A 25358-nucleotide genomic window follows, 5' to 3' on the forward strand; every position below is an offset into this window, starting at 1 on the left:
GCAGGAGAATCGCTTGAACCCGAGAGGCGGAGGTTGCAGTGAGCCGAGATCATGCCACTGCACTCCAGCCTGGGTGACAGAGTGAGACTCCATCTCAAAAAAAAAGAAAAGAAAAAAGAATATACCAAATTATAATTCATAGAGTCAAGCCATCCTGATCTCAGGCTGTGATAAACAAAATTAGGCAGAGAATTTTAGGTATGTGTTCATAAAATGAAAGAGACTAAAATTTAGGAGTATTTATTGAAGCTCAGACTATCCTGCTTATCTCAAACATCCCTCATAGTATTTACATTTGTAATATTGATTATGATATATATAGATTTATTTAAAATTAAAAATAGGTTTAAGATACAACTAAAACACACCAGGGTATGTCTGATCTAGAACAGGAGTTGTCTGTTCATACCCTGATCTAGAACAGGGTATGTCTGATCTAGAACAGGCTATTAACTTTCTGTAAATAGCCGGATAAATACTTTAGTCTCTATCTCAGCTACTGAGCTCTGCAGTTGTAGTGGGATGGTGGCCACCTAGTAGCATGGACACAGTACACATAAGATGGCATGGCTGCCTTCCAGTGAAACTTCATTTACAAATGCTGACAGAGGAGAGTTGGCCTGCAGGCCCTCCTTTGCCACCTGCAGTACTGTTGTAAGGCCTGGAGGAGAGGGGATCTTTTTTCTGTACTACTAGTCAGTGAAACTGTTAAACATGAGCAGTCTCTAGAATCTGTCCTAGGAGTTTAATTTAGAGTTGGTGTTATGTAATTTGACCATTTGGAATAGCCCAGGTAATAATGCCTTTTTTGATAGGTTTCCCTGTACCATTAGGAAGACAACGTTCAAGGCTGGGTCCAGGTGGTTCTTCTCTTTGGTGATAGCAGTGTTGACTCTGTTGGACCAAGCTCCCCTATTTATGATACATTGTGTAACGCTCATTGTAGTGTCCTGAAGTGTGATTAACACATGCTGAAAACACGAAAATAGCGCTTTAACTCACAAAGAAGAAATGAAAGGAAATATCATTTATAAATACTTATTTAAATGTAGGAATGCTTAGGTATGACTGCTAAAACAGTGGTACCGAAATGCAGGTCTGCTATGAGAATGTCATCTCTAAACCACTCAACAGCTGCCTTCTTTGAGTCAGTCTTGCTGTGAAAAAAGAAAGAGGTGCAAACTCCTTCTCTAAGCACCAGGAGATCCTAATGAAGGACTTGTGACCAGTCTGCAGATCACACTTTGAACTCCAGAAGTTGTAACGTTTGCCAGCGCTTGCACGTAGAATCCCCCTGCACGGGAGGTCCTTAGAGGGGTCCTATTGGCAACTCATATATTATGAGCCACTTTGCCACTGGTGACATGATTTTCTGAAGAGGTGGACAGTTTTTGGTACACTTCCAAACTGAAGTAGAGATTTCCTCCACTTATGTGATAGTTCCTCTCCTGAAAAATATTGTGTATAAAACCTGTGCCCAAAAATGGGTGAAATGGAGTTGGGTCTATGCTCAGGATTTTTACTTACTGGAGAATGTCTGGAAATTGGAAAGTCAGGCAAGATGTTTGTGTGTGTGTGTGTGTGTGTGTGTGTGTGTGTGTTGGGTGATGAGGGGAGGCTGTCACACACAATGTCTGTCCCCCATCATTGTGACAACTGCAGATACCCCCACAGATTTCCAAATATAAAATGAAACAAAGGAGCATGCAGGTGAGGATCTGGGGAGAGTGGTTACATGTGGGGATCATACTTTCCTGTGCTCTCATAGTGCAGAGGAACCGCAGAGGGATGATAAAAGCAGCTGAACTCTCTCCTGTGCTTCCTCAGAATTTCTGACTTGTTTTCCATGAATGTCTTCTCATATACATATATATTCATTTCTTCCTTTTTGCCCCCCTCCCCTAATACGGCCCCATTTTATTTGGTCATTTCTCCTTTGTATCATTCTCTAGGGTAAATTTTCTCATCTTGCTGTTTCAAGATATTGGTGAGTCTTAATCGTTTTGTAAGGTGTGTTGAAAATAATTTATACCAATTGTAATTAAAGCACTGGAAATGTGTAGTGTACTGTTTCTAATATCACTTACTTGCTTATTGATTGTTTTTTGAGCTGGAAAGTGATGGAGTTATGGCCCCTGCACATCTTACTTCTGCGAATGGGGCTACTGTTAGTACCTTTCACATAGGGGTGTTGGAGGATTAAATTTGCAAGTTAGTGCCTGCTGATTACTTGCCAATGCCTAGTTCTTGTGTTTAGTTCTTTAAATGGTAGACATTACAAAGACAGGAAAAAGAATTCTTGTCTTTGTTTGCTCTTTTAACAATCCAAAGGTTTAGGAATTTACTTTGCTCTAACAACCCTCTCGATCCTCTTGTGACCCCGTTATACTCAGTGTTGCTGAAAAAGTCCATTTTAAAATAATGGCACCTACCACATCCATTTTTCCGTCTTTAGGCCAGACCCTCTGATGGTTGGTGGATTTTAGTATTAAAGCTTGTGTTGAAAGTGGAGGGGGTGTTACTACTGTTGTGTCTGAAACAAGAGTTAAGGTTATATTTTATGAAGCAGTTTTGGCTTTTTCAACAGATGTTGGCCACTCACTTTTATGGATTTCACATTGAGTAGTAATGAGTCATAATCACTACTTAATTTTCCCAAACCAGAGGGAATATACATTTTATTATTGGACCCTCCAGGCTGTCAATGAAGAGAGAAAACCTTTCTTTGGAATCAAGTTGAAAACCTGTTGTTAACACCTCTCTCTGGGCCTTCTTTGCTCTCCTTAGCACGTTCATTGCTAGGGGCTGCCACTTCCATCTTCTCTGCCTTGGAAGCATAGAGTCGTTTCTCAGCCTCATTCTCACCTTTATGAGTTCATTTAATAATGTGATTAGAACATATAAAGTATGCAAGAATAAAATGTGTCATGATGACCTTAAAACTTTTATTATTCAAAGTTATAGAAAGTTACGTATTTTATTGTAGACTCATAATAGGTGAACCTTTCTGATCTTGGGGATTTCTTGTATTTCCTTGGAGAGTCTTACATAGGCATAAGCCAGTGACTGATTTTTTTTTTTTTTTTGATTGTTTTCTCATACTATCATAGGCCATTTGAGGGGAATAAAACAAATACTCGTTGGGAATCTATATGTAGAAGATCATTCAGGCAAAGATTCTGGTCTTAAAGGTGTTAAAGTCTACTGGAGAACATAAGGACTTAATTATAACAGCAGCCACAGCCTCCACCAGCCCCTGTGATAAAAGCATACTATGTTATCTCACTTAATCTTTATGACAGCCCATGGAGGGTAGGTCTCATTATCTTCATTTTTAATGCTGGAGACTGAAGATGAGAGACCTGTGGTTGCCTAAGGTCATATAGCTGGTAGGGGCAGAGTTTGTGTTTTTGCCACTGTTCTTGATAGCATATTTCTGCCATATGGGGGCTTCTCCCGGTTCCGTGAGTGAGGCATGCCCTCCTGCCATAGCCTCCGTTCCTTCTGCCTTCAATGAATACACCTTCCATACCACTCCCCCCAACCCCTCCCATTAAATTCTAATCATCATTTAAGTTTCATCTTTGGTGGTCTTAGGTGTCACTGTTGCAGACAGGCATTTTTCTGGCCCCTGCACCAGCTTACAGCACCCCCACTCCTTGACCTCTATAACGCTCAGCTTTATACTTGGTTACGTTTATGGTGTTTGTTGCTCTGTTTGTCTGGTGTCCTGGACTCTAAGCTCCGCAAGGGCAGGAATTGTCTGGCATCATTGCTGCACATGACACCTGGTGGATGTACATATTTATTAAATGAATAAATGAATGGATGTTCATACTTTTGTCCACCATGTTTTATGCTAAATACACACAGAGTAGATAATGAGAGAGGCTCTAATAGCGAGGTGTGTATCCTTTGAGCTATGGATGACAAACTTAAAAAATTGCCCATTAAGTTAGAAAAGAATTGAGTATATCTTTTTAATATATGTGTTTACTTAATGTACACGCATATTGTAAAAATACATGATATTGGCATTTTAAAAAGGATGAAAATATTTAAAACAAGGAGTTTCTAATATGTTTTTCTGTATGTTAGAGGACCAGCTGGTATCCAGGACCCACTAAACTTGGAGCTGGGGGTGCCAGGGCAGGCCCTGTGGGAATACATGTAACTAAACAAGCTCCATGGCCACAGTGGAACCAGACTGCAGTTGATCAAAGCATGGTTGAGGGTGGGAAGTGCTGGGCTCATGCGAGGGTGTGTGAGTGATTGTGCATCAACATGAAGGATCACTGGGGGAGTGGTGGGGTGTAAGGTTCATTGGAAGTCTGGGACTCAGCTATGATTGAGGTCAGATACCTAGTTCAGGGGATAAGACCATATCATCTTGAAATGATGGGCTGCTGAAGGGTCTTAAAGAATCATGGGTACAGTGGCTCACGGTTTTAATCCCAGCACTTCGGGAAGCCAAGGCAAGTGGATCACTTGAGCCCAGGAGTTCGAGACCAGCCTAGGCAACATGGCGAGACCTCGTCTCTTAAAAAAAAAAAAAAAAAAAAAAAATTAGCCCGGTGTGGTGGTGTGTGTCTGTAGTCCCAGCTACTTGGGAGGCTGAAGTGGGAGGACTGCTTGAGCCTGGGAGGCAGAGGTTGCAGTGAGCTAATATGGCACCACTGCATTCCAGCCTGGGTGACAGAATGAGACTCTCTGTCAAAAGAAAAAAAAAGGAATCATGTAACTGTCCTCCCTTCTCCTTTAGTAAATATTTTTCCTTCCTTTCTTCCTTCTCTTATTATTATCTTATTAATACATACCAAAACATGTATCTCTTATTATTTCACAGTGGCACACTGAATCTAAAGTGATCCTCCTGCCTCAGCCTCCTACAGGCATGGGATTCCGGGCATGCACCACCACGCCTGGCTAATTAAAAATATTTTTTTGTAGATATGAGATCTCCCTATGTTGCCCAGGCTATTTTTTGTTTTGTTTTGGTTTTGTGTTTTTTGTTTGTGTGTTTTGTTTTTTGTTTGTTTTGAGTCTCACTTTGTCACCCAGATTAGAGTGGAGTAGCACAATTAGAGCTCACTGCAGACTTGAAATCCTGGGTTCAAGTGATTCTTTCACCTCAGCCTCCTGAGTAGCTGGGATTGCAGGTGCATACCACCACAACCAGCTAATTAAAATTTTTGTATGTGTGTGTGGAGACAGGGTGTCACTGTTTCCCAGGCTAGTCTCAAACTCCTGGCCTCAAGTGATCCTCTCACTCAGGCCTCCCAAGGTGCTGAGATAGGCATGAGCCACCATGTCTGGCCTTGGTTAAGCTTTTTTATCCTATACCAGAGACGTCTAAAATATTTACTTCTTGTCATTATTATTGCCAATGAGGTTCCTGTACAAAGACGATGTTGACTACTTTAGGCCCATAGGGAGATAGTGGTAGTTTCAGAGGTAGAATGAATGGCAGAGGATAAAAAAGTACAGTTCAGTGGTGATAGTTGGACAAGCTGGGCAGTGGATAGGGGTGCCGGGCAGTAGAGACCTTAGAAGCTTGTGGCAAGACCAGTGAGTTGAGGAAATGCTCCTGCTTTTGCTAATCTGTGGGTGGGGTGGTAGCTGCCCTGGCATTTTTAACATTCCCTGTTGTTGAGAGATGGGCTAATAATGCTAGTCAGAAGTCTGATGTTTGCCGGAGGTAGCCCCGTGAGCAGGTTTTGCAATCTCAGTAGATACCTGTGTGAGGGAAGGTTTACACCACAATTGAGTTGGGGGAAATGTTCTGTGATCTGTACTTACAGAAGCAATATTAAAAAATTCATATTTGGTGTAGTAAAGGAATAAAATAGTGAAAATTGTTTCTGTTCCTACATATACAAGTAAAGGGAAGCCTTGTAATGCTTTAATGATTGCGGATTGTGATGCAAAATGTATTAGCCTATTTCACAGAAGCAAATATGTCAATTAATTAAGAGAAATGCCTAAATTGCCACGTCAGATCATTTCACAGAGGTGTGGAACATTTAAAAAGTACTTTATTTGCAAAAAGTTCTGAAATGACTTATTTTAAAATTTTCATCTAATCTACAAAACTAGATTATTTTCAAGGAATGTCTTTAGTCCGGAATGTTAAGAAAAAATTGTTTTAAGTTAAAATGTATTATTTTTTCTTTTAAAATGTTATTTTATTTAAAAAGTATATAACAGGTGTTCTACTTTGCCCTAAATTATAGTCCAGTAATTTGGAAATTTTGATCTAAATATTAACAGAAGCTTTAAGAACATTTGTTCTCTTTGAGGAAACCCTGACTTAGGGAATTAAGAGAAAAAATGCCATCTGTAGAAAACAAACCAAAGTAAAAACTTGTTACCCTACCCATCCTGGCATAACTTACTCAAAATATAAGGGAAACCTAGGAAGTGTATTTTGCTATTTATGAAATATTTCTTTTCAGATTTTTTTAATACTTCAGAAGTATATTCTAAGCATTATAATAGTCAACTTCATTAATACAAACTAATGTAAATTCCAGAAATAAAGTTAATGAGATCCAAACAAAAATTTAGGCTCTGGGTTGAGTACAGTAAATAGCATGAAGTCAGAAGACCTGGGTTTGATGATTGCTTCCTGGCTGTATTTTCTCTAGTAAGTCTTCTAGTTTCATGTTTGACACTGGAGTCTCTGGTTTCTAAAGTGTAGACAATAAATATGTCTGTCATACAGGATGGGTTTAGGCATGAAGTGAGTTAATAAGGCTTGGGAAAATAGTTTGAAAACTGCAAAGGTCTATATAAAATGTTTGTTGTTACAGTTACAACTACTAGCTTTTAATGGTAGAATTTTGGTTGTTCTGCTAGGTCTGCGGTGGTTGAATTGGACACAGAATGGAACTACGCTAGACAGATGAGATCTAGGGTGCCCTTACACCCATTCGAATCCACAAGCATGCATTTGGGAAACAGTTCATGGGAAAGTTGTCACAAGTTTATGGATAGGGGATATAGGCTTTTTGTGGTTTCACTGATAAAACTGTACATTTTAATTTTTAATTAAAAAAAATTTTTTTTATTAGAGTTGGGGTCTCACTGTGTTGACCAGGCTGGTCTCGAACTCCTGGCCTCAAGCAATCTCCTTCCATTTTGGCCTCCCAAAGTGCCTGGATTACAGGTGTGAGCCACCATGCCCCAGCCCTATAAAACTGTACATTTTCGATGATACATAAAACTTATAATTGTAGATTCAAGCAACTCACATAGTTGGTTAAATAGATCACCTACTTAACAAATAATTTGTGGTAGAAACCAAGCTTGTGTTACTGCACTGTTGATTTCTCAGAGTGAAAGTCCAAACGACCTGGAATTGTGGTTTGGCCTGTGAGGATGCAGTAAAATAAAGCCTCCCCACCCCACCCCCAGAACATCAGAGGTCCCCAGAAAGGAAAAATATGATTAACGGTATTTTCTTCAAATGTGTTAAAAATTTTAGTGTTTTCATTTTTTCTATACAGTGATAAAAACATTTTATGAAAAAATTGTCCTGATTATTAAATCTTAAATGTTCCTTTTTCAGGGCTTAGTCTTACAGTAAACTACTTGCCATACTGAAGGTAATGAATACTTAAATAACTATCTTTCTTCTCAGTACACCAAACGTAACTCTTGGGTTCAGAAATGATTTACTTAGGATATATGCACTTATTTTTCTAGAGGAGTACTTCACCAAGGTATTAAACATTGTTACCATTTTAGTTACTATTGTATATACCAAAACTTTGTGTGGTTTTAGGAGAGAAGAAGTAATCATACCTTATCTACCCAAAATGGTTTCTCCCTCATTCAATATATATGTTTTAAATAACCAATTACTCTTTTGTGTGGAATGTCTTAGTATAATAACATTTCCAAATAACCTGTTTTGTGTAGCAGCTTTATTGAAGTATAATTCATATAGCATACAATTTCCCCATTTAAGATATACAGTTCTGTGGCTTTTAGTATATTCACCTACAGAGTTGTGCAGCCATCATCGCCAGAAAGAAACCCCACAGCCCTTACCCTTCACCCCTCCAGCCTCCCCATTCCTTCCAGTCCCAAGCAACTACCAGGTGACTTTCTGTCTCAGTGGCTTTGCCTATGAAACAACCTGTTTTTATAACCTGAGAGAGGTATCCACAGGGAAGCTTCTCAGCCTCTCCTGTTACACTCTGTGATAACCTGGTGCACCTTTGTAAGCCGCTGAGAGAGGAATGGGACCTGCCTGCTTGTCAGCATTAGAGAGTTATTCTCCCCTTTAAAGGAAGCAGGAGTTATTTTGCTTTGGTAGTACAGGTTGAGTATCACTTATCCAAAATGCTTGGGACCAGAGGGGTTGTGAATTTCCGGTTTTTCTTTTAGATTTTCTTTCAGATTTTGAAATATGTGCAAATACTCCCTGTTGAGTATCCCAGATCTGAACATCAGAAATCTGAAATGCTTCAGTGAATATTTTCTCTTAAGTGTCCTGTCGGCACTCAAAATATTTCAGACTTTGGAGCATTTTAGATTTTGGACTTTTGGATTTGGGACATTCAACATGTAACTTGGTGTTAATGCGATTGTCAGTACAGTGATGAAGAAATACAGGGGACAGTGATATTGTGGGGCTGTTGTGAGTGTCGTGTGATGGGGCCCGTAAGAAATGGCTTGCATGTTGCCTTGAACACCAGAGAATCCGGATTCGTGAAGGCAGGATGACTTGGCATGTGTGTCTGCTTGCTTTGGTGGCACGCTGGAGATGTTTGGGCACATGTGTCGTGCGCACACCTGCTGCGGACAGCAGTTGTTGGGTGGAAATCAACAGTTGTAGCCTTGACACAGATGGAAGTGAATGTGAATACAATTGAATATGAGGCATAAAACCCTCTACATTGATCAGCATGGTGTTTAAAATGCCTTAACGCCCAGGCTCAGCCACTTTCTCTACCTCTAAGTAGATCTTTTGATTGATAGATTCTTAGTTCGCCAATAATATTGATCAGGCTTTGATAGCTAGGTTTTGAAAAGAGAAACGGTTACCAGCTGAGCCCAAAACTGCTTGCTTGGTTTTAATTTGGAGGTTGCTACTATTTGAGGTAGAATTCATGACTCATCAAATTTTCTTCTTTCCTCTAACATTTAGCATTATTACTCTTTGTTGGACAAATTTACCTTAAGAATGTTATTCTGAGCAGCTTGTAGTCACTGCCCATATCCTGCCTGTTATCCACCAGAACATGTAGGAATTTTCCTTTTTACTTTTTGTGAATTTAAGTGATTATAATATTTAGATGAAGTTAGAGATAGTGAACTTTATACATGAGAAAGTAAAGTTTATGTCAGTTCTCTCGAAACAGTGTACGTGTAGTTGATTTTAGTAGGAATAAAAGTTAGAAAAATGCACAGAGATTTTGTTCTTGGAGGGATAGGGTCCTGGAGGTGAACTGACTACTGCATGCTGGGAGGGACTTCCTGCAGCTAAGTGAAGAGAAGCATTCCATTGTTTTCTTTGATGCTGATTTGAATGTGGTCATTAATTTGCTCATTATTTTAAAACATTTATACTGTCAGTGCTAGGGTTTTTTCCCTCCTGCATGGTATGGTGTTAAGTAAACTCGAAGCCAAGTATCTGCTGTCCCATCTTTGTGCCAGAGCATTCGCAGCCTCCAGGGCTCCACCAGCCCATGTGGGCCCTCCTGGGTCCCTGTGGGCCCCGTGCACCACCTGTCATGGATTCCTGCCGCTGGTGCATGGGACACCCGAGGAGATAAGGGGTATGAATCTTTCTTCTTTATGTTCCATGCACATTTAATAGCAGACGATATTAAAGAGAATTCAGTGTTAATGTAACTTTTCATATTTCATCTTTTTTTCTTTAAATAATTCATAAAGTGCTACTTTAAGTTAAAATCTTACAATGTAGGATCCTATTGGATGGTTCTTTTTAAAGAGAAAAGTTTGGAAAGGCCCTGGTGGGGGGTGCAACTAAAATGTTTTCCACTTGGTCTTAAAGAGTGTTGTGCAGAGCTAAGATGAACCTGATTTACATCCCACATCTTTGCCACCTGGCTGGCTGCCTTGTTAACTGTGCAGGTTAATTAATCCTTGCAAATCTCCATTTTCTCATGGAAAATAAGTATAAAAACAGGTACTTCGTAGGATTAAGGGAGATGCCAGCTTGTATCACTGCAGTGAATGGTGACGCCGATGAGGCTTGTGCTGTTGGACTTATTTTTCCATACACGATGGTAAGAGGTGACGTATAACCTAAGATTGTTGGCTCTAGGCTTGAGATGTGCCCAGGGTGTTTTTTATATGTAGTCAACAGAGTTCAGAATATTGAAAAATTCAAATATTAAAATACCAGGAATAATTTCAGAATATATAAGTGGTATTCTGACCTGTTATGCTAAAATACTTCTTTTTGATAGGAAGTCTAAAAATTATTTCTATCCTAGTTAGCAGTAAGGACTCAACCTCCCCTCCCCCCCATTCTTAGTTCTTATGTAAGCGTTCTTGAAAATGTAGTTATTCTTCCTTCTATACTTAGTTGAAATGTATAGAATAAGAATTAAATGCAGTGAATCAAATCTGCAGTGCCAGCTTTCTTGTTTCCTTGGTGTCTCTACTAACAGAAATACGCAAGCACAGCAACATGGGAGAAATAGCGTTCATCTCCCCACCCTCACAAACCCCTAGAGGTGTCGTGCACGTAATGACTTGTATTCACTGGGCACTCCACTGGGTACTGATTCCCTGTTTGATCCTCGCTGACCTCATCAGATGCTGCTGCCCCACTTTACAGGTAGGGATTCTGAGGCATGGAGTGTTAACAGCCTGCCCAAGGTCACCTAGTTGCAGAACTGAATTCTGATCAGCTTGAGCCAACTCTAAAAACCCACATTCTTTCCACTATTGTCTGCGTTCTCGTTGCATGGAGGGATAATATAGGAACATGAATGACTATGAGATTTAGAACAGAGGCGCAAAATTCACTTCAGCAATGAAGAATGGGTAGGGAACTGTGTAGGATCTGAAAGGAGAACATTTGTTTTTGATCACTAGGAAAGGCTTCATGAAGTTTGAGATGCCTTTAACGAAGGATGCTTTTCACGGGAGGGAACTGCCATGGGAGGAGGAGGAGTATTTTCTTGATTTAAAAGTATTCGTATATAATTTAGAAGTTGTTTCAGGGTACCCTGGTTTTCTCATGTAGATCATCCCCCAGGTTTCCCTGTCTCTTCAGCGGTTCTTTCCTAAATTAGCTTTTGCCTGACTTTCCTTCCTTTGCAACCTCAGTTTCTGATTTTATGTCTAGTCTGTGACTAATAAGTTTTCAAATAGTAATAAAAAGAGTTAAAGGGACTCATACAGGTTTGTGGAATGAGGCTTGAGAAACTAAGTGAAGCCTGAAGTTTATTTCCTTTTATGAACACAGTGTGCTTACATTGGTTTATTTTAACATAAACTATTTCTAAAAATGGAGTCAGTTATTATCTACTAAATGCAATTTGGTAGGGAGATTTCTTTCAAATCATGAGCTTCTCAGTGGGGATAAAGGAAGAAAAGGGGGTTCTCAGTGGTGAAAAGATTGGGAAGGACCAATATTCTTATGTCTGTGAAAATCACTGTAAAATTTGAGCTAAGCTGTTACCCTGAAGCTGTTTTCCCGTTCTTTTACATCACAGCAGATTTTCATTCTTCTCCTCTTTCCCTTGTGGTGAACAGTTGCATTTAAGCATTATCAGCATTAAAAACATATTTGGGATGAAATCTAAGCCAAGCATCTGTTAACCAGTCAGCCACTTTCCAAAACCCTTTCAGCTGCAGGGAGTGGGTATGATTCCATGGGGTGTGAGTCTGACATCAGAAGACTTGCTGCCTTCTCCAGAGAGATGGCATCCTTTTGTAGATTTTCAGACAAGACGGACTACTTACATTTCACTGAAGGTGAAAAGTTCTAAACAAGACCTCAATTGTCAATATTACATTTTGCAAATCTACTAATTGGTTTATATTTGAAAGGATATGAAATTTGGGTGTTCCCCCCCACCCCTTTTTTAACTATTGAGATGGTATTCATTAAAACTGTTGGCAAAACCTGTTTTGGAATTAATATGGTAAAAGATTGAAGTTTTACATTATTTTCTTTTGAATCGTGAAATAAGTTTTTAAGAGAAGTTCTTGGGTCCCTAGAATGAGTCATTAAAATACTGGTGAGGTTTTTTAGGGAAATAGCATTGTATGTCAATACGTTGAAAGAAACAAAAATGCTACTTTGATTCTCTTTTTTATTTATCAGTGTTAGAATTAAGGCTTTTAAAATCCTACTGACTTTGTTTTTGGTGAAGACTTGCTAAAACAATTTGAGTTTTCTTCAAAGAAGGATGTTTTCCAAATACCTTTTTTCCCATATGAACTACAAGTATAGACATTTTGGGGGGCCTTCCTCATATATATTCAAATTTATAGTTATTGTGTTCTATGAGTATCATGAATCTGCCTGATGATTTCATAATAGGAAATTGAATGACACTGATTTGGGGAAATGAGGTAGAAATTATGGGTTAGGCAGAAGCTTCTGTAATCTGTTAGTAATTGTTTGGTAAGATCATACAATTTGTACATAGTAAAGCAAGCTAGTGAATTAAGCTTTTCGTTATCAGATGCTATGGGAGTGGTCTGAGAAGGGAGTAATAGAGTAAGCTGTTGGTTTCTGCTTAAGACTAAAACATGTGCTTTAAAAATGTTCTTAAAACCCTTTATTTAATTGAAACTTGATTCCTACTATAGGCTAAATTTTATATTGTTGTGGATATAGAGGCATTGTCAGCTCTAAAACTCTGATTTTAGGATGCTTCATATTTTATATTATTTAAAATAGCACAATTTTCAAGAAGGCAAAACAGTAGCAATTCAAACATGGATTTGTTCACTTTGGGTTCTTGTTTCTTCTGTCTTCCCCCAGACACTCTATAATTGGATTTGCTTCTAGGTTTACATGTTAGGATATACCAGTTAGATTAGCAGTACAGCCTGTCGGTGCCAAAGATGTGGGACAAATTATATTCCATTGCAAGCTTAGAACATTTTTTTTTGTAGCAGTTCAATACACTTGAGTGCTATGATTTTTGAAGTTAAAAGTAAATTGTATTATTCCAACGACACTGTAAATATTAATTACACTGATCATAGTCACTAATGGTGTTTGCCATGTGCCGGGCACTGGTCAAAACTCTTGCCTGTATCAACTCTCATCCTTACTACAGTGCTAGTAGATGTGCATATTATTTTACAGATGTGGAGACAGAGATATGGAAAAGTTAAATAACTTATCCAAGGCCACATACCTGCCAAGTGGCAGAGACAGGCCTGGAATCCAAGCAGGGAGGCCTTGCTTCTGTGCTCTTAGCCTCTGGACTACTGCAGTCTACTTCATGTTTTCCGTTGACTAACAGAAAGCTCTTTTCTCCATTTCTTTACTGTGGCCTCAGATATGAATGTATGTATTATATGTATATAATAAAGACATGCTAAATCATCTTAACCTACAAATCTGAGTGCAGAATAAAGATCATTTCTGTGAAACACAAAAGATACCAATCTTATACAAATCAGGGCTCTTGTCAATTCTTATGATTAAAATATTATTAAAATTGATAGACTTTTTTCTTTGGGGATCCTCACAAGAAGAAAATAGTGTTGCCTACCAGGCATAAAGGAGTTCTGGTTTTGTATCCATACTGGTTCACAAATGACTATCAGGAGGAAAAGATGGTAACATGCTCCCCACTGCCCCCTTTTGAGACAAGGTCTCACTGTGTCACCCAGGCTGGAGTACGGTGGCAGGATCATGGGTCATCGTAGCCTCCGCCTGCTGTGCTCAAGCAGTCCTCCCACCTCAGCCTCCCGAGTAGCTGGGACTGCAGGCGTGCCACCATGCCTGCCTAATCTTTTAAAACATTTTTTTTACAGAGATGAGGTCTCACTGTGTTGTTCAGGCTATTCGGGCTTTTTGATCTATTATTTGATTGCTCCAAGTCAGCCAGCCCTTATATTCCCACTCTACTCTGCATTGTTGGAGGATAAACCAGAAATGGGAAACACAGGCCCTGCCTTCTCTAAATCCCTCTCTACTCCGGAAGGTAAATTGCAGGTGAGCTTTGGGATACCTTGCTCGGGCAGAGGGAACAGACACATGCAGTGGTTGGCGGCCCAGCCAGGGGGTCTCTTCTCTCACAGCCACATCTGCAAAGACAGCAGGGCTTGGTTGGAGACTTTATCAGGCCCCTCAGTGTGAAGAGCTCAGGAGGAGCTCAGTCTTGTGTTGAAGCCAGTGAAGAATTCCGGGCACTCCCATTACTGCTATGGCTCTTTCCTGCTGCTTCTGTGTCCCCTCTCCGGCTCCTGGGATTTTGGGTGTGTCCATGTCCTGGTCCCTGCCTCTGCTGTTACTCCCCCCTCCCTCTCCATTCGTGTGTACCCTGCCTTTTCTCTCAATGTTTTGCTCGCAACTTAGACATGAAATGTTTTTTTTTTTTAAGTTAGATTTAAATTTGATTAAAGATTATATTCCTTAATGCAAGTAAAATTCCACCCCTCCTCCCAATTCAGTTGTTTCTAGCTTAGAGTCCTTGGCTGATCTTTATGTCTATGGTACTTAAATTAAGTTTCCATGTATCTGTTATAATGGTAACTTTTATTATGAGAGTCTCTTCAAATAATTAGAAAATGATTTTTGGAAAGGTGTATGTCAAATAGAGGTCATAATGACAAAACATAATATCTTATAATGAATGTAATATTCTGGACTAAAAAAAAATTATTCCATAGGAGGGTATAAGCCAAACTAGTTTTTCCCCAGCATTTGTTTTCCTCATACATTTATAAGGAAAACATATGGGATAGAAATAATTAGGTGCATTAAAAGACCATATTGACTTTCTGTGTTAGCATTTTTTCTTTAATTGTGTACATTTTTCATGAGTTTTTGTCTAGTATGATCCATTTTTGGTATAGGCATGCCAATAGCCTAGAGCTTTTAATTCATCAAAGAGAGGGTATTTCTAGAAAAATAGCAAAGGCCTCATAGGAGCCTACCACTTGCTGTTCAGCAAACTAGCTAGTACAATAACAGCGCCATATGCAGGGCCATGCCTGGCAGAAGGGCTCCTCTTAGGGAGGAGTGACTCAGGTCCTGCAGCCAGGACCTGCTTGGCTGTGCAGCTCAGCCGCTGCTGACCAAGGGGAGGCAATTTAGCATTTTACACTTCGGGTGCGTTGCTTAAAATAAGGAAAGTAAAACATCATGGAACGTTTTGAGGTCTTTGGGTAGCACACTTTAACATAGGGATTGATCTTTTAGGTTCATGAAGGTAGATCTTAATAACTTAAAATTATAATCTGTTTTTCACAAAGATATTTACAATGTTGTATTATATTTTGCATTTGAAGTTGCCAGTTTCGGGAATGCACTTTGAAGTTGTAATTTCCTGTTTAATTTATGATATTTAATATAGAAATGCATAGGATTTCTGAATGATGGTTTGGCATTGTCTGCTGTAAATGGGGCAAATATCATGGAAGAGGCTATCTTTGAAGCTATAGAGAATGTAGAAATCAGATGCTTTCTTTTGAGACTATTAAAGATACTGGGTTTTCATAGTAGTATGTAGAATACTTAAAAGCACCTTATGGCCAGTTTTTCCAAATTGGTTATTTACATTCTAGAATATGATTTTTCTGTAGAATTGTTATCTGTATGGCTGGGCTCTCAGGCCAGCCCTAGAAATTGTCTTGTCCTATAATGTTGCTGAACTGCAGTACTAAGAATGTCAGAGAAAATAAGCATTAATCATTAAAATAAATTTGAAATTCTGCTGAGCTTATGGGACCATGTTTGACTCCTCACCGTAGCCCACAGCGGCAAGAAGCAGCACCTGGGAACTCCACGTTCCACTCCTTGCCGTCAGCCTGGATTGCAGCGGGTCCTTGGTGTATTCAGGTGGCATCTGTGAGGATTGGGTCAGGCTCATACAGGGAGGCTGCAGTTGCTGGAGCAGGGAGCACAGGGTAAATGAGGTTTGGGGTCTGTGAGAGGCATAGGCAGAGGGGGTGGGCTGCAAGGGCAGCTAGGGGAGGTATAGCCCCAGGAAAAGAGAGTCTGAGACAGGCCCAGGGGGATGCAGCTCCGAGTTAAGTACTTGAACATCGGGAGCTATGCATCCCACAGTTCTCTACAGCAAACAGTAAAATATTACTGACAGACTTGGGAAAAGCCAGCGAGTCTTTTGAGTCAATGAAAAGATAGCATTTGCTGTGATCAGCTTCTCTAATATTGTTCCTCTGTAAGGGTTTCACTGTTCTCAACTTTGAACATCCACTCGCCGTTCTGTGGTATATCCATTTGTCCCTAGTATTTAAATTAGGTTATTGTAAAAGCTCCTTTGCACCTGTTGAAAATGCTGGCACAGTTTCTCCATTAGTAAACCCTAGAAATCTGAGCTCTCTTTCACTGAAGTTTCTTATTTCAACTGGAACATTCTTCTTGAATGTGTGTGATAGGATCAGTGTACGGTTTTCAAATGGTTCAGTCTTTCTGCAACCACAAAGTTTCTTATTCAGGGGAGTGCTTGCAGTTCTCTTCATTCCCCTCCTCCACTTGTAGATGAAGAAAAGAAAGGCTTATATTATTTTTGAGGCAGCTGCTAACAAAAAACTTGGTTTCTTGAGAGCTGTGCTTGTCATTGCTTAAAGATAGTGTATGTCAGACCAAGCTGGTGACAGTTCTGCGCTACTGAATTGGAGATGCCTCGGCGTGGAGAGTCTTGTCTGCAGATCAGTGGCCTTTGCAATAGACACACTCTTCTTGACCGTTTTTGCACCGAGTGGACTGATTGTAAGGCTGTCTCCACCTGTGCACACAGAGGTCCCTGAGAAGAACACGGGGCAAATGAAGGGCAGGCGTAGATATTCTGGCCCGTGCCACAGATCCAGAATAGCTGGTGACCCTGGTGTGCTGCCACCATTTCCGGCCAGGAATTTGGCCTTCCTAAAGCACAGTTTGCCAGGTGATGTCCGTTCCAGGTAAATGACACAGGCAATGGAATTAGAAGCCTATTAGGGTGTTGAATATTTTTGATGTCTATTCCATTTAGGACAAGATTGAAGCCTCCTAGGTTAGAGTGTACATTCAACATTGCTTATTATTCTGGGAGTAACTCCCGGTTAACGATATAAGGGGAAAAACACTCATTATCCATTCCCTTGATTTACTTAAATCCCTGATAAATTTTACTTCCCCTCTCACCTTAAACCATTTCTTCTATCTGATAAACAGCTACAGTTTCGTTGTATCCTTTGAAACAATTTAAATCAGAAGGTGAAAGTTCAAAATAATGCCTTTTAAAGATAGAAAATAAAACATAATTATAAGATCAACAGTATTAAATTTCTGCTACTTCATTTTTCTTAAATTTAAAACTTGATTTACTAGCTGTTAAACTAGGGGGAACTCTGGGGTTTAACATCATTGAGGGCTGGGAGGTACATGTGTTTGTGGAACTTCGTTAATATTTTAAAATACCAAGTCCATGAATAAAGTCACATAACCTCTTTACTGGAACTTGGAAAGCGCAGCCAGGAATAGGCTTCACTTTCCCTGTCTGTCTCTGCTCTTGGTCGCTTCTCAGGCAGACCCTGTGGCTGTCACTTCTCTTTTGGATATTGGAACAGTCAGTGCTGTAGGCATTAAGAGCCCAAGCCAGTCTCAACCGGAATGTCACTCTTTCACCCACTGGAAGCCCTCTTCTTCCCAGCTGAGGCCTGCCCCCTTTCTGTGGGCCAGCCTCAGGGAAGGGGCTGTATTTCTTCTGTTTCCCTCTCCAGTCACCCCTCGCCTCCTGTTCCCTGTGGCTTCTCCATCTGGGGGCTAGGGACAAGGAAGAAGGAAAAGGGTAACACTCTTTTGACTCAGCCATTCCCTGCCATTCTGTTGTGCTCTGCTTCTGTCTCTGCACCTGTCTCTCGGATTCTTCGGAGACACCCCCCACACCACCTCCTGGAATGTTCCTTGGCATGGTGGTGCCCACTCCTGGCCACCTTCACAACTCCCCTTCAGAGTGCACCCTGGAGGTGCTCCCCTCTCCACCCTGCTCACTGAGTCCCTTTGCCTTGCAGGCAGTCCTCCTGGCCTCGCTCCTTGGTGTTTCTCTGTCCACACCAGCAATGTGTGTCCTCCCAAACTACAGGTAGCAGGCCACCGCTGTCTGTCCACCCCCCACCTCCCCCTTCCCCACAGCTCAGCCCGCTGAGCAAGGGCTGGCACCTGCATTGTGCAGGCCTGGTGGCCCCTCAGTGAGCCTCGTGTGCTTTCTTCACGTTGGTGTTAGCCTGTGTGGTCCCTTCCCTCTGCTGCCCTCGGCTGGAGCCTGGGCCAAGTCAAGACATGGAAATGTCCTGTCACTGTCACAACTGGGTATTGGATGCTGTAATCCATTGTTGTGATGTGTGGATGTAAACTTCAGAATTAGGGGAAGATTAGCCTGAACTATGAAACATGTTAATATGCATTTCAGTTATTTCCAAATGTAGAAATATACTTTTAAATGAGGGTTTCAGCTTTAAATGAAGTCTTACTAATTCGTATATCCTATTATGGTAAGATATAAAAGTCTTTTAAGGAATATGTTCTTTTAGATTAACTCAAGACTTGAAGTGATGTTGAAGAAACTCTTGATCATTTGAACCCTGTTTGGGAAACTTTACTGAATTTTATGGTAGATTCCTTGTAGGACACATACATATTTGATTGGTATATGTCATATAAGATTTTGCATTATATTGCACTTAAAATAGGTGTTAATTTTGTTTTAGGATGTTATAGTCTGTGCTAAGAAGAGCATGCTATTTTGACAATAAAGTTGATAAGTTGGAATACATGGGCTTAGATATATAAATTAAATATAGAGAGGGAAGCAGAAGAAATATAGACCACTAGGCAGGGCACGGTGGCTCACAGCTGTAATCCCAGCACTTTGAGAGGCCGAGACAGGCAGATCACGAGGTCAGGAGTTCAAGACCAGCCTGGCCAATATGGTGAAACCCCATCTCTACTAAACATACAAAAATTAGCTGGGCACAGTGGCTTGTGCCTGTAGTCCCAGCTACTTGGGAGGCTGAGGCAGAAGAATGGCTTGAACCTGGGAGGTGGAGGTTGCAGTGAGCCGAGATTGCGCCACTGCACTCCACCCTGGGCAACAGAGCGAGACTCCGTCTCAAAAAAAAAAAAAAAAGAAAATATAGACCACTGCCCCTTCTTTGCAGCTGGGGTTATTAGCTTATGACTGTGGGATGTTTCAATGGGTCTTGTACCTCATGGTATATTAGGAAATCATAGAGTTAGAACTTGGTAATGCACCAAGTTAAAATAATCAAAATTAGATTTTGAAGGAATCATTCTTTAATGTTATTACCTTCCCACTTAAAAAATTACAAATGGAATGTCAAACCTTAGGCATTAGGTAACTGAAATCTTATAGCATACCCTTCTGTTCAGACACTTGCTCTTGCGAAGTGTGTTGAATGCATTTTAGTAACATCCACTGCCAATTTAAAGTGACATTGAGTAGATTAGGAAAGTAAAATAAAGTGATTTGATCCATTCGTTACTTGAATGGTTAATTTTATGTTGACTGTGTGGATTAAATACACCCGGGGCCCCAGGCAGTGTCCCTGCACCTGCTGCCGTAGGTGAGGGGGACAAGGCCTGCCTGGAACAGAAGGCAGCTCAGGGCCTGGGAGTCAGTTTCCTGAGGGGAGCCCCTTGCAAGCGCCGTCCACACAGGGCCCCCAAGTGCTGCCCACCTATCTTGTTCATCCTCCCTCGCTGTCAGGAACTGCTACCCTGGGCTGTGCTTTGGAACAGGTCATCAGAGCTGACATTGGTGGACACTGTTGGTGTGTGCTACAGTGGTGCTCAGTGCTTTACAGACTTCTCCTGTAATCCTCAGAGCAAGCCCACCAATAAGAAATTCTGATCCCCATATTATGGGCAATGGCTCCAAAGCTCTAAGGAGTGTATTAACTTGGACGTGGTACTTCTGGGGTTTGATTCCAAGCCTGGCTGACTTCCTGACGGTGGTGATCTCTCTCACCAGACTGAGAGCCCTCAAAAAAGATTTGCTGAGCTTCTGTCCAGGTGAGGTGCTATGCTCAACACAGGGGTCCAGGTGAGCTAGATGTACATAGTTCCTGCCTGAGGTGCCCATAGGCTGAGAATAGACGGGCAGTCTTGGCAGTGCTAACCTTGGCTGGAGGCAGACTGACTTGTCGGTTTTTCAGAGGTAGATGCATGGCTTCTCCTATGAAGGAAAACAGTGGAAATGTACAAGAGAAATAGAAATGGAGTCTTGTTGGTAAAACAGATTTGGAAAGGTTGAAAATGATTTCTGATTTAGTTGATTTCTGAGTTCCAGAGCCATCCTGAAATTCTGTGGTGCGGGAGATTGTTGGTAGGAAGCTGATGAGAGCCCGCCCATGGTTAGGCTTGCCCATTTGTTACTACCCATCACTCCAGGCAAATGCCAGTTTACAGAGTGAGTGGAGTGGGGGAGGGAGGGAGGCACCATCATTACTTCAGCTTGAAAGATAGCTGAACTTTCTGGACTTTCGAGGGGGGAATTGCCAATGGAGAATGGGTTCATGTGGTTCAGGCTTCATTTGTTCCTTTATGTGAGTTTAATTTGCATGTGTTGAGGTTAAGCAGCTGGTCCGACCCCTTGGCATAAACACCTTGTTGGATGGTGAGATGGAGAGCAGCTATAAAGGGCAGGCATGTTTACTTGCAGGACACATTTTGTGAGCAGGTTTCTTGGTGATAACGTCATTCTGAGCTGATGCCTGCCTTGCTGGTTTAATAGAATTATGTAAAAATGAGCAGAACAGCATTCTGGACCCAGTGACAGCCCTGCATGAGGATTGGTTTAAAAACCTGCATCCTCAAGCTGCCTGACACCCAGAGCAGCTTCATTTGATGGTGGGAGAGAACATGGAGACAAAGTATAAATCACCCACCCTCAGAATGGAAAGCTGTGATCTGGAATGAGAATGCATGTTCTGCTGATTTTCATACCAAGTTCATAAAAAGACCAATTTTCCCCCTTTCCACTTTAGCAATTATCCTGTTAAACAGTGTGCTCGAAAAGGCACAGGGAAATGACAAATAAGAATTTGTTAGAGAAGTCCAGGCTGCTTGATTGTCTCATCTTTTGGAGCATGTTTTATTTTTGACACAAAGGAGAAATAAGGGCAATTTACACCGACAGAAACTGCAGCCCTCTGTAGCGCAGCCCTGTGAGGTGCTTTAGCCAGTGAGCAGTTGCTCCTCCCACAGTTCATCTTTGCACAAAGGAGATGATGTAATCCCTTTAGCTGCCGGCCACGTGGCCAGCATGCCGTCACTGTCTTGACGATACCTCTGAGCCACCTCTGCGCTGCCAGCAGTTTATCGGCTCAGAGCGACTGTGCGTTTGTAATTAAATTGCGTTTTCCTTGCATGCCTGCTCCCCCTGGCCAGGGCTGTCCCTCACCTGGGTAGGCCTGTTAATGAGGGTAGTGTGTGGCTGGCTTTACAGCTGAACTGCAGTGGGAGCTTTTATGCAGAAAAATGACCAGAGTAGCCTCTTGTACAGCGCTATGGAGCCTCTCCGTATGCCCACAAATTAGCACTAGGGGAGGAGATGCTCTGTTGCCATTAGTAACCGCTTGCCTATTTATTAGGGGAGTAAAAAGCTCAAAGCTTGGGCTTTTCCCTCCCTTGCCCTGCTTTCCCATGAGTTCTGAGAGCACCCGAGCCTGTACACTCGAGAGGGATGGAGAGGCTGTACTGTGTTCAGCTGTGTGTACATAGAAGCACATCCTTTTCAAGGAAAACTGAATCCTCCTATGGTGCTGTTTTTTGGTTGTGCCTTTCTCCGTGGTCACCATTGCATCCTGTTTGATTGAGGGCAGTTTGATTTAATAGCTGCCATGAATTGTGCCCAGATTTGCTCAGGTGAATTAAACACTTTACACGCATTTTCTCACTGAATTCTCCAGCAGCCTTTTGAAATACATGGCTTAACAGAGGAGGAAGCTGCGGCCAGGAGAGGTGAAATGATTTGCTCAGGCCCTTCCATGTCAGAAAAGGGAACACACAGAAGACAGAGGAGGGGGCGAGGGGAACCCTTTGAATTTGATCCCCATTATTTTTTTCTTTAAAGAAAACATGAGATTTGGGGTAGGGGGTGTGAGCCCTCAGCCACTGAGGCTTGATGAGGCCAGGACAGCTTTCTGCTCTTGGTCCTGGCTTTCTTGGGGTTGGTATTATGGTGATCAGGTGCTACTACATGTCAGATACAAGAAGTTACAAGGTTTCCTTGATTTCATAGTTGATGATTTTAAAAGTGAAACTGTCTTGATTGTATTAGTAGAACCTCTTAGGAACACAATGGAATGGCCCAGGCTTCTGGCCCTATGCCTCTAGGGACTCTCAGTTAAACTGTGTCCCTACTGATTTTGATCAGCACTCACGGGCAGCACGTAACCTGACAGAGCCTAACTCCTGTATAATTAAAAATCATGGCACCCAAATCCGAGATTCTTAAACTACCATGGTCTTTGGAGAATTTGGAGATGGAGTGAACTGGAGATGGCAAGGAACACTTGTTGGTGCTGCCGTCTTGGCGCTGGGCCTGTGCATCTGTTCCTCCCTCTCCACAGCCACCTGCAGCCTTGGGGCACCAGAGGCTGGGCAGCCTCTTTGAAAAGGCCCCTCTTTCTCCCTCTGGACAGCATAGGCTCCTCACTGACTGGGTGCAGGGGGAGAAGAGGTGGGGCGTCTTTTCGTTTATTGAGCCTTCACCCTTGCTCACCTCGAAGCTACCCTGGGAGGTGGGAACAATTGGGGCCTTGAATTCACCTGCAGAGGGAAGGTGTGAGGATGGGGGTGGCCTAAGTAACAGATGAAGCAGGTGTCAACAGAAGCCATGGGATCAGGAACAGATTATTTGAGAAAGACTGCATCTGTTTTCTCTCTACAACCTGAGAGGAGGCTGAGGTAGAGGTGACTGGATGTGACTACATTTGACCAACTTTTGAAATGACAGCAGAGCCTTACCAGATGGTTTTGAAAGAGGCAACTTAAAAAAAAAAAAAAAAGCCCTTCCCAAGCTGTGGTACCTCCTTAACCAGATGCTGTAAAATATGACATTGAAACAATCAGTTTGGCTTTGTTTATACTTGTTTACAGAAGGAAAAGGTTACTTTCTTACTGTAAACTCACTCCTGGCAATTTTGTGCCTTGTTCAAGATTTTGTCTCATTAAAAATTAAGCATCTTTTATGTAAGACTCTTTGCAGAGACTTCAGTATGTCAAGGCCTTTGCTTTACGTGCCATGTCTGTTGATAGATCCAGTTGCTTTTCCTTCCTGATAATTCTACATCGATTCCTTGCTCACTCTCTATCCAGCTGTGGCCTCACCGAGCACCTGGCCACCATACTAGACTTCCTGCCTGCAGGCTTGCCACCTTCTTGGTGATTTTCAGGGTAGCTGCTCAACCACGTTTACTGTTAGGTGCCCACTGAGAGGCAGCCCTTGTAACTGGCCTGCCACAGGATGTCAGAGTGGCAGGAATGCCCCAGCAGGTTGAACTCACATTCTACAACAGGTCTTACCTGGATCCCCGAGGGACTTCATCTGTGTCCTTTTTAAATGGTACCTGTGCTTTCTGTTGCTGCTTCTCATAAAAAGAACAAAAGATTGCAGGAGAGCCCAGGAAACAATTAAAACCATCCCTGAGACATCTCCTTTCAAACTGACCTTTCTAGATCCGAATTACTCCCTTTAAATGGGGTTACTTGTATATAAACCAGGAATACAGATTTTTATTTTTAAACCAGAGGGCATCATCCCTCTGAGGCAGCCTGGCCCCGAGCCTTCTGCAGCTCACTCCAGGAGAGAGGGACGAGGTTGTGCAGCCTTCCTGCCTCCCTAGGTGCCATTCATTGAGGGAGAGGTTGAGGGGAGTGGAAGCAGGCAAACCATGGGGGAGCTGACCCCAGGGCACACCCAGCAAGACTGGCTTGTATACTTGGGGCTCCTGGACTGCAGTACCGCCATGCACACTGCTATCATTTCGCCTCACTGGGGCAGCCTGGCCCCAAAATTACAATTAGCCATTCATTTAACCAGGGAAATACCTTCTGTGTCAGCACAGTTTTTAGCCACTGATGCAAGTGACTCTGATCATATCACTGTTACTCCAGCAGTAGTCAAGACAAACTCTGCTCAAGAAAAGGAAATGCTGATTTCAAAGAGGACAGGAGTGCTGCACTTGCCACATGCACCACGGTCTTCTGGGTATGGGAAGAAAATAGAAAAATCTTTTAAGAAATACTTATTTATGGCTTATTTTTAAATGCCTATTTAGGGGTATGTGTCACTGCATACATACTTTACTAGTACAGAATAGTACGTGTGTAATTTAGGATTGAAGGTATGTAGTGAAATTCTTTAGTGATAGGATTTTATTTATGTATTTATTTTTGAGACATCTCTCGCCCTGTCACCCAGGTTGGAGTGCAGTGGCATGATCTTGGTGCGCTGCACCCTCTGCCTCCTGGGCTCAAGTGATCCTCCTGCCTCAGCCTGAGTAGCTGGGACCACAGGTCCCGGCTGATTTCTTTTTTTTTGTGGAGACAGGGTTTCGCCATGCTGCCCAGGCTGGTCTTGAACTCCTGAGCTCAGGTGATCTGCCCGCCTTGGCCTCTCAGAGTGCTGGGATTGATTACGGGCATGAACTCCCGCACCTGGCCAGTGCTGGGATTCTTGATCAAAAGTGTTTGAAGACTATGCCCTTAAAGCGGCAATTCTCAAAGTGTGGTCCCAGGGACCCCTTGGGTTCCCTAAGACCTTTGTAGGGAATCTCTGAGTTAAAACTATTTTCACAACAGGGAAATAAAGTCTTAGCTATTTCTCACTCTCATTCTCTCCAAAGTGTATGCTGAAGTCTTCCAGAGGCTACCTGACATGTGACATCACAACAGATTAAAGACAGAAACATAAGTGAGAGTTAAGATGAGTTCTCTTAAACCACACATTAAAGGAAGTCTCAAAAGTGTGAAACAGCGCTGGCCTTCTTTCTGATTTTTTTTTTTGGAAAAAGTATTTTATGTTAATATGTAATGAATTTATTATTTTGAAGATATTATTTCAAAAATTCTCTCAGATTTAATTTCTAATATGGTAAATACCCATATATCTGAGATATCTAGATATTAGGTGGACAGAATAGTAAAGTAAGTA

The 25358-nt window shown here is 41.8% G+C and overlaps 1 protein-coding gene across 10 annotated transcripts in view, besides 3 other annotated features; it reads left to right on the forward strand.

Annotated features, from left to right (window-relative positions):
- Window positions 1-25358, forward strand: part of TRIO (trio Rho guanine nucleotide exchange factor) — a 366863-nt gene that overhangs the window by 85433 nt on the left and 256072 nt on the right. The gene's annotated exons all lie outside the window — the stretch shown is intronic.
- Window positions 22088-22177: an enhancer, noted in NCBI's record as "active region_22396". NCBI's record gives its function as "activates an Ori minimal core promoter by ATAC-STARR-seq in GM12878 lymphoblastoid cells {active_cell/tissue: GM12878}" and the evidence as "EXISTENCE:reporter gene assay evidence [ECO:0000049][PMID:35858748]".
- Window positions 22248-22307: an enhancer, noted in NCBI's record as "active region_22397". NCBI's record gives its function as "activates an Ori minimal core promoter by ATAC-STARR-seq in GM12878 lymphoblastoid cells {active_cell/tissue: GM12878}" and the evidence as "EXISTENCE:reporter gene assay evidence [ECO:0000049][PMID:35858748]".
- Window positions 22928-22977: an enhancer, noted in NCBI's record as "active region_22398". NCBI's record gives its function as "activates an Ori minimal core promoter by ATAC-STARR-seq in GM12878 lymphoblastoid cells {active_cell/tissue: GM12878}" and the evidence as "EXISTENCE:reporter gene assay evidence [ECO:0000049][PMID:35858748]".

The sequence above is a fragment of the Homo sapiens genome, chromosome 5 (genome assembly GCF_000001405.40).
Source record: "Homo sapiens chromosome 5, GRCh38.p14 Primary Assembly".
NCBI classification, from domain to species: Eukaryota; Metazoa; Chordata; class Mammalia; order Primates; family Hominidae; genus Homo; species Homo sapiens.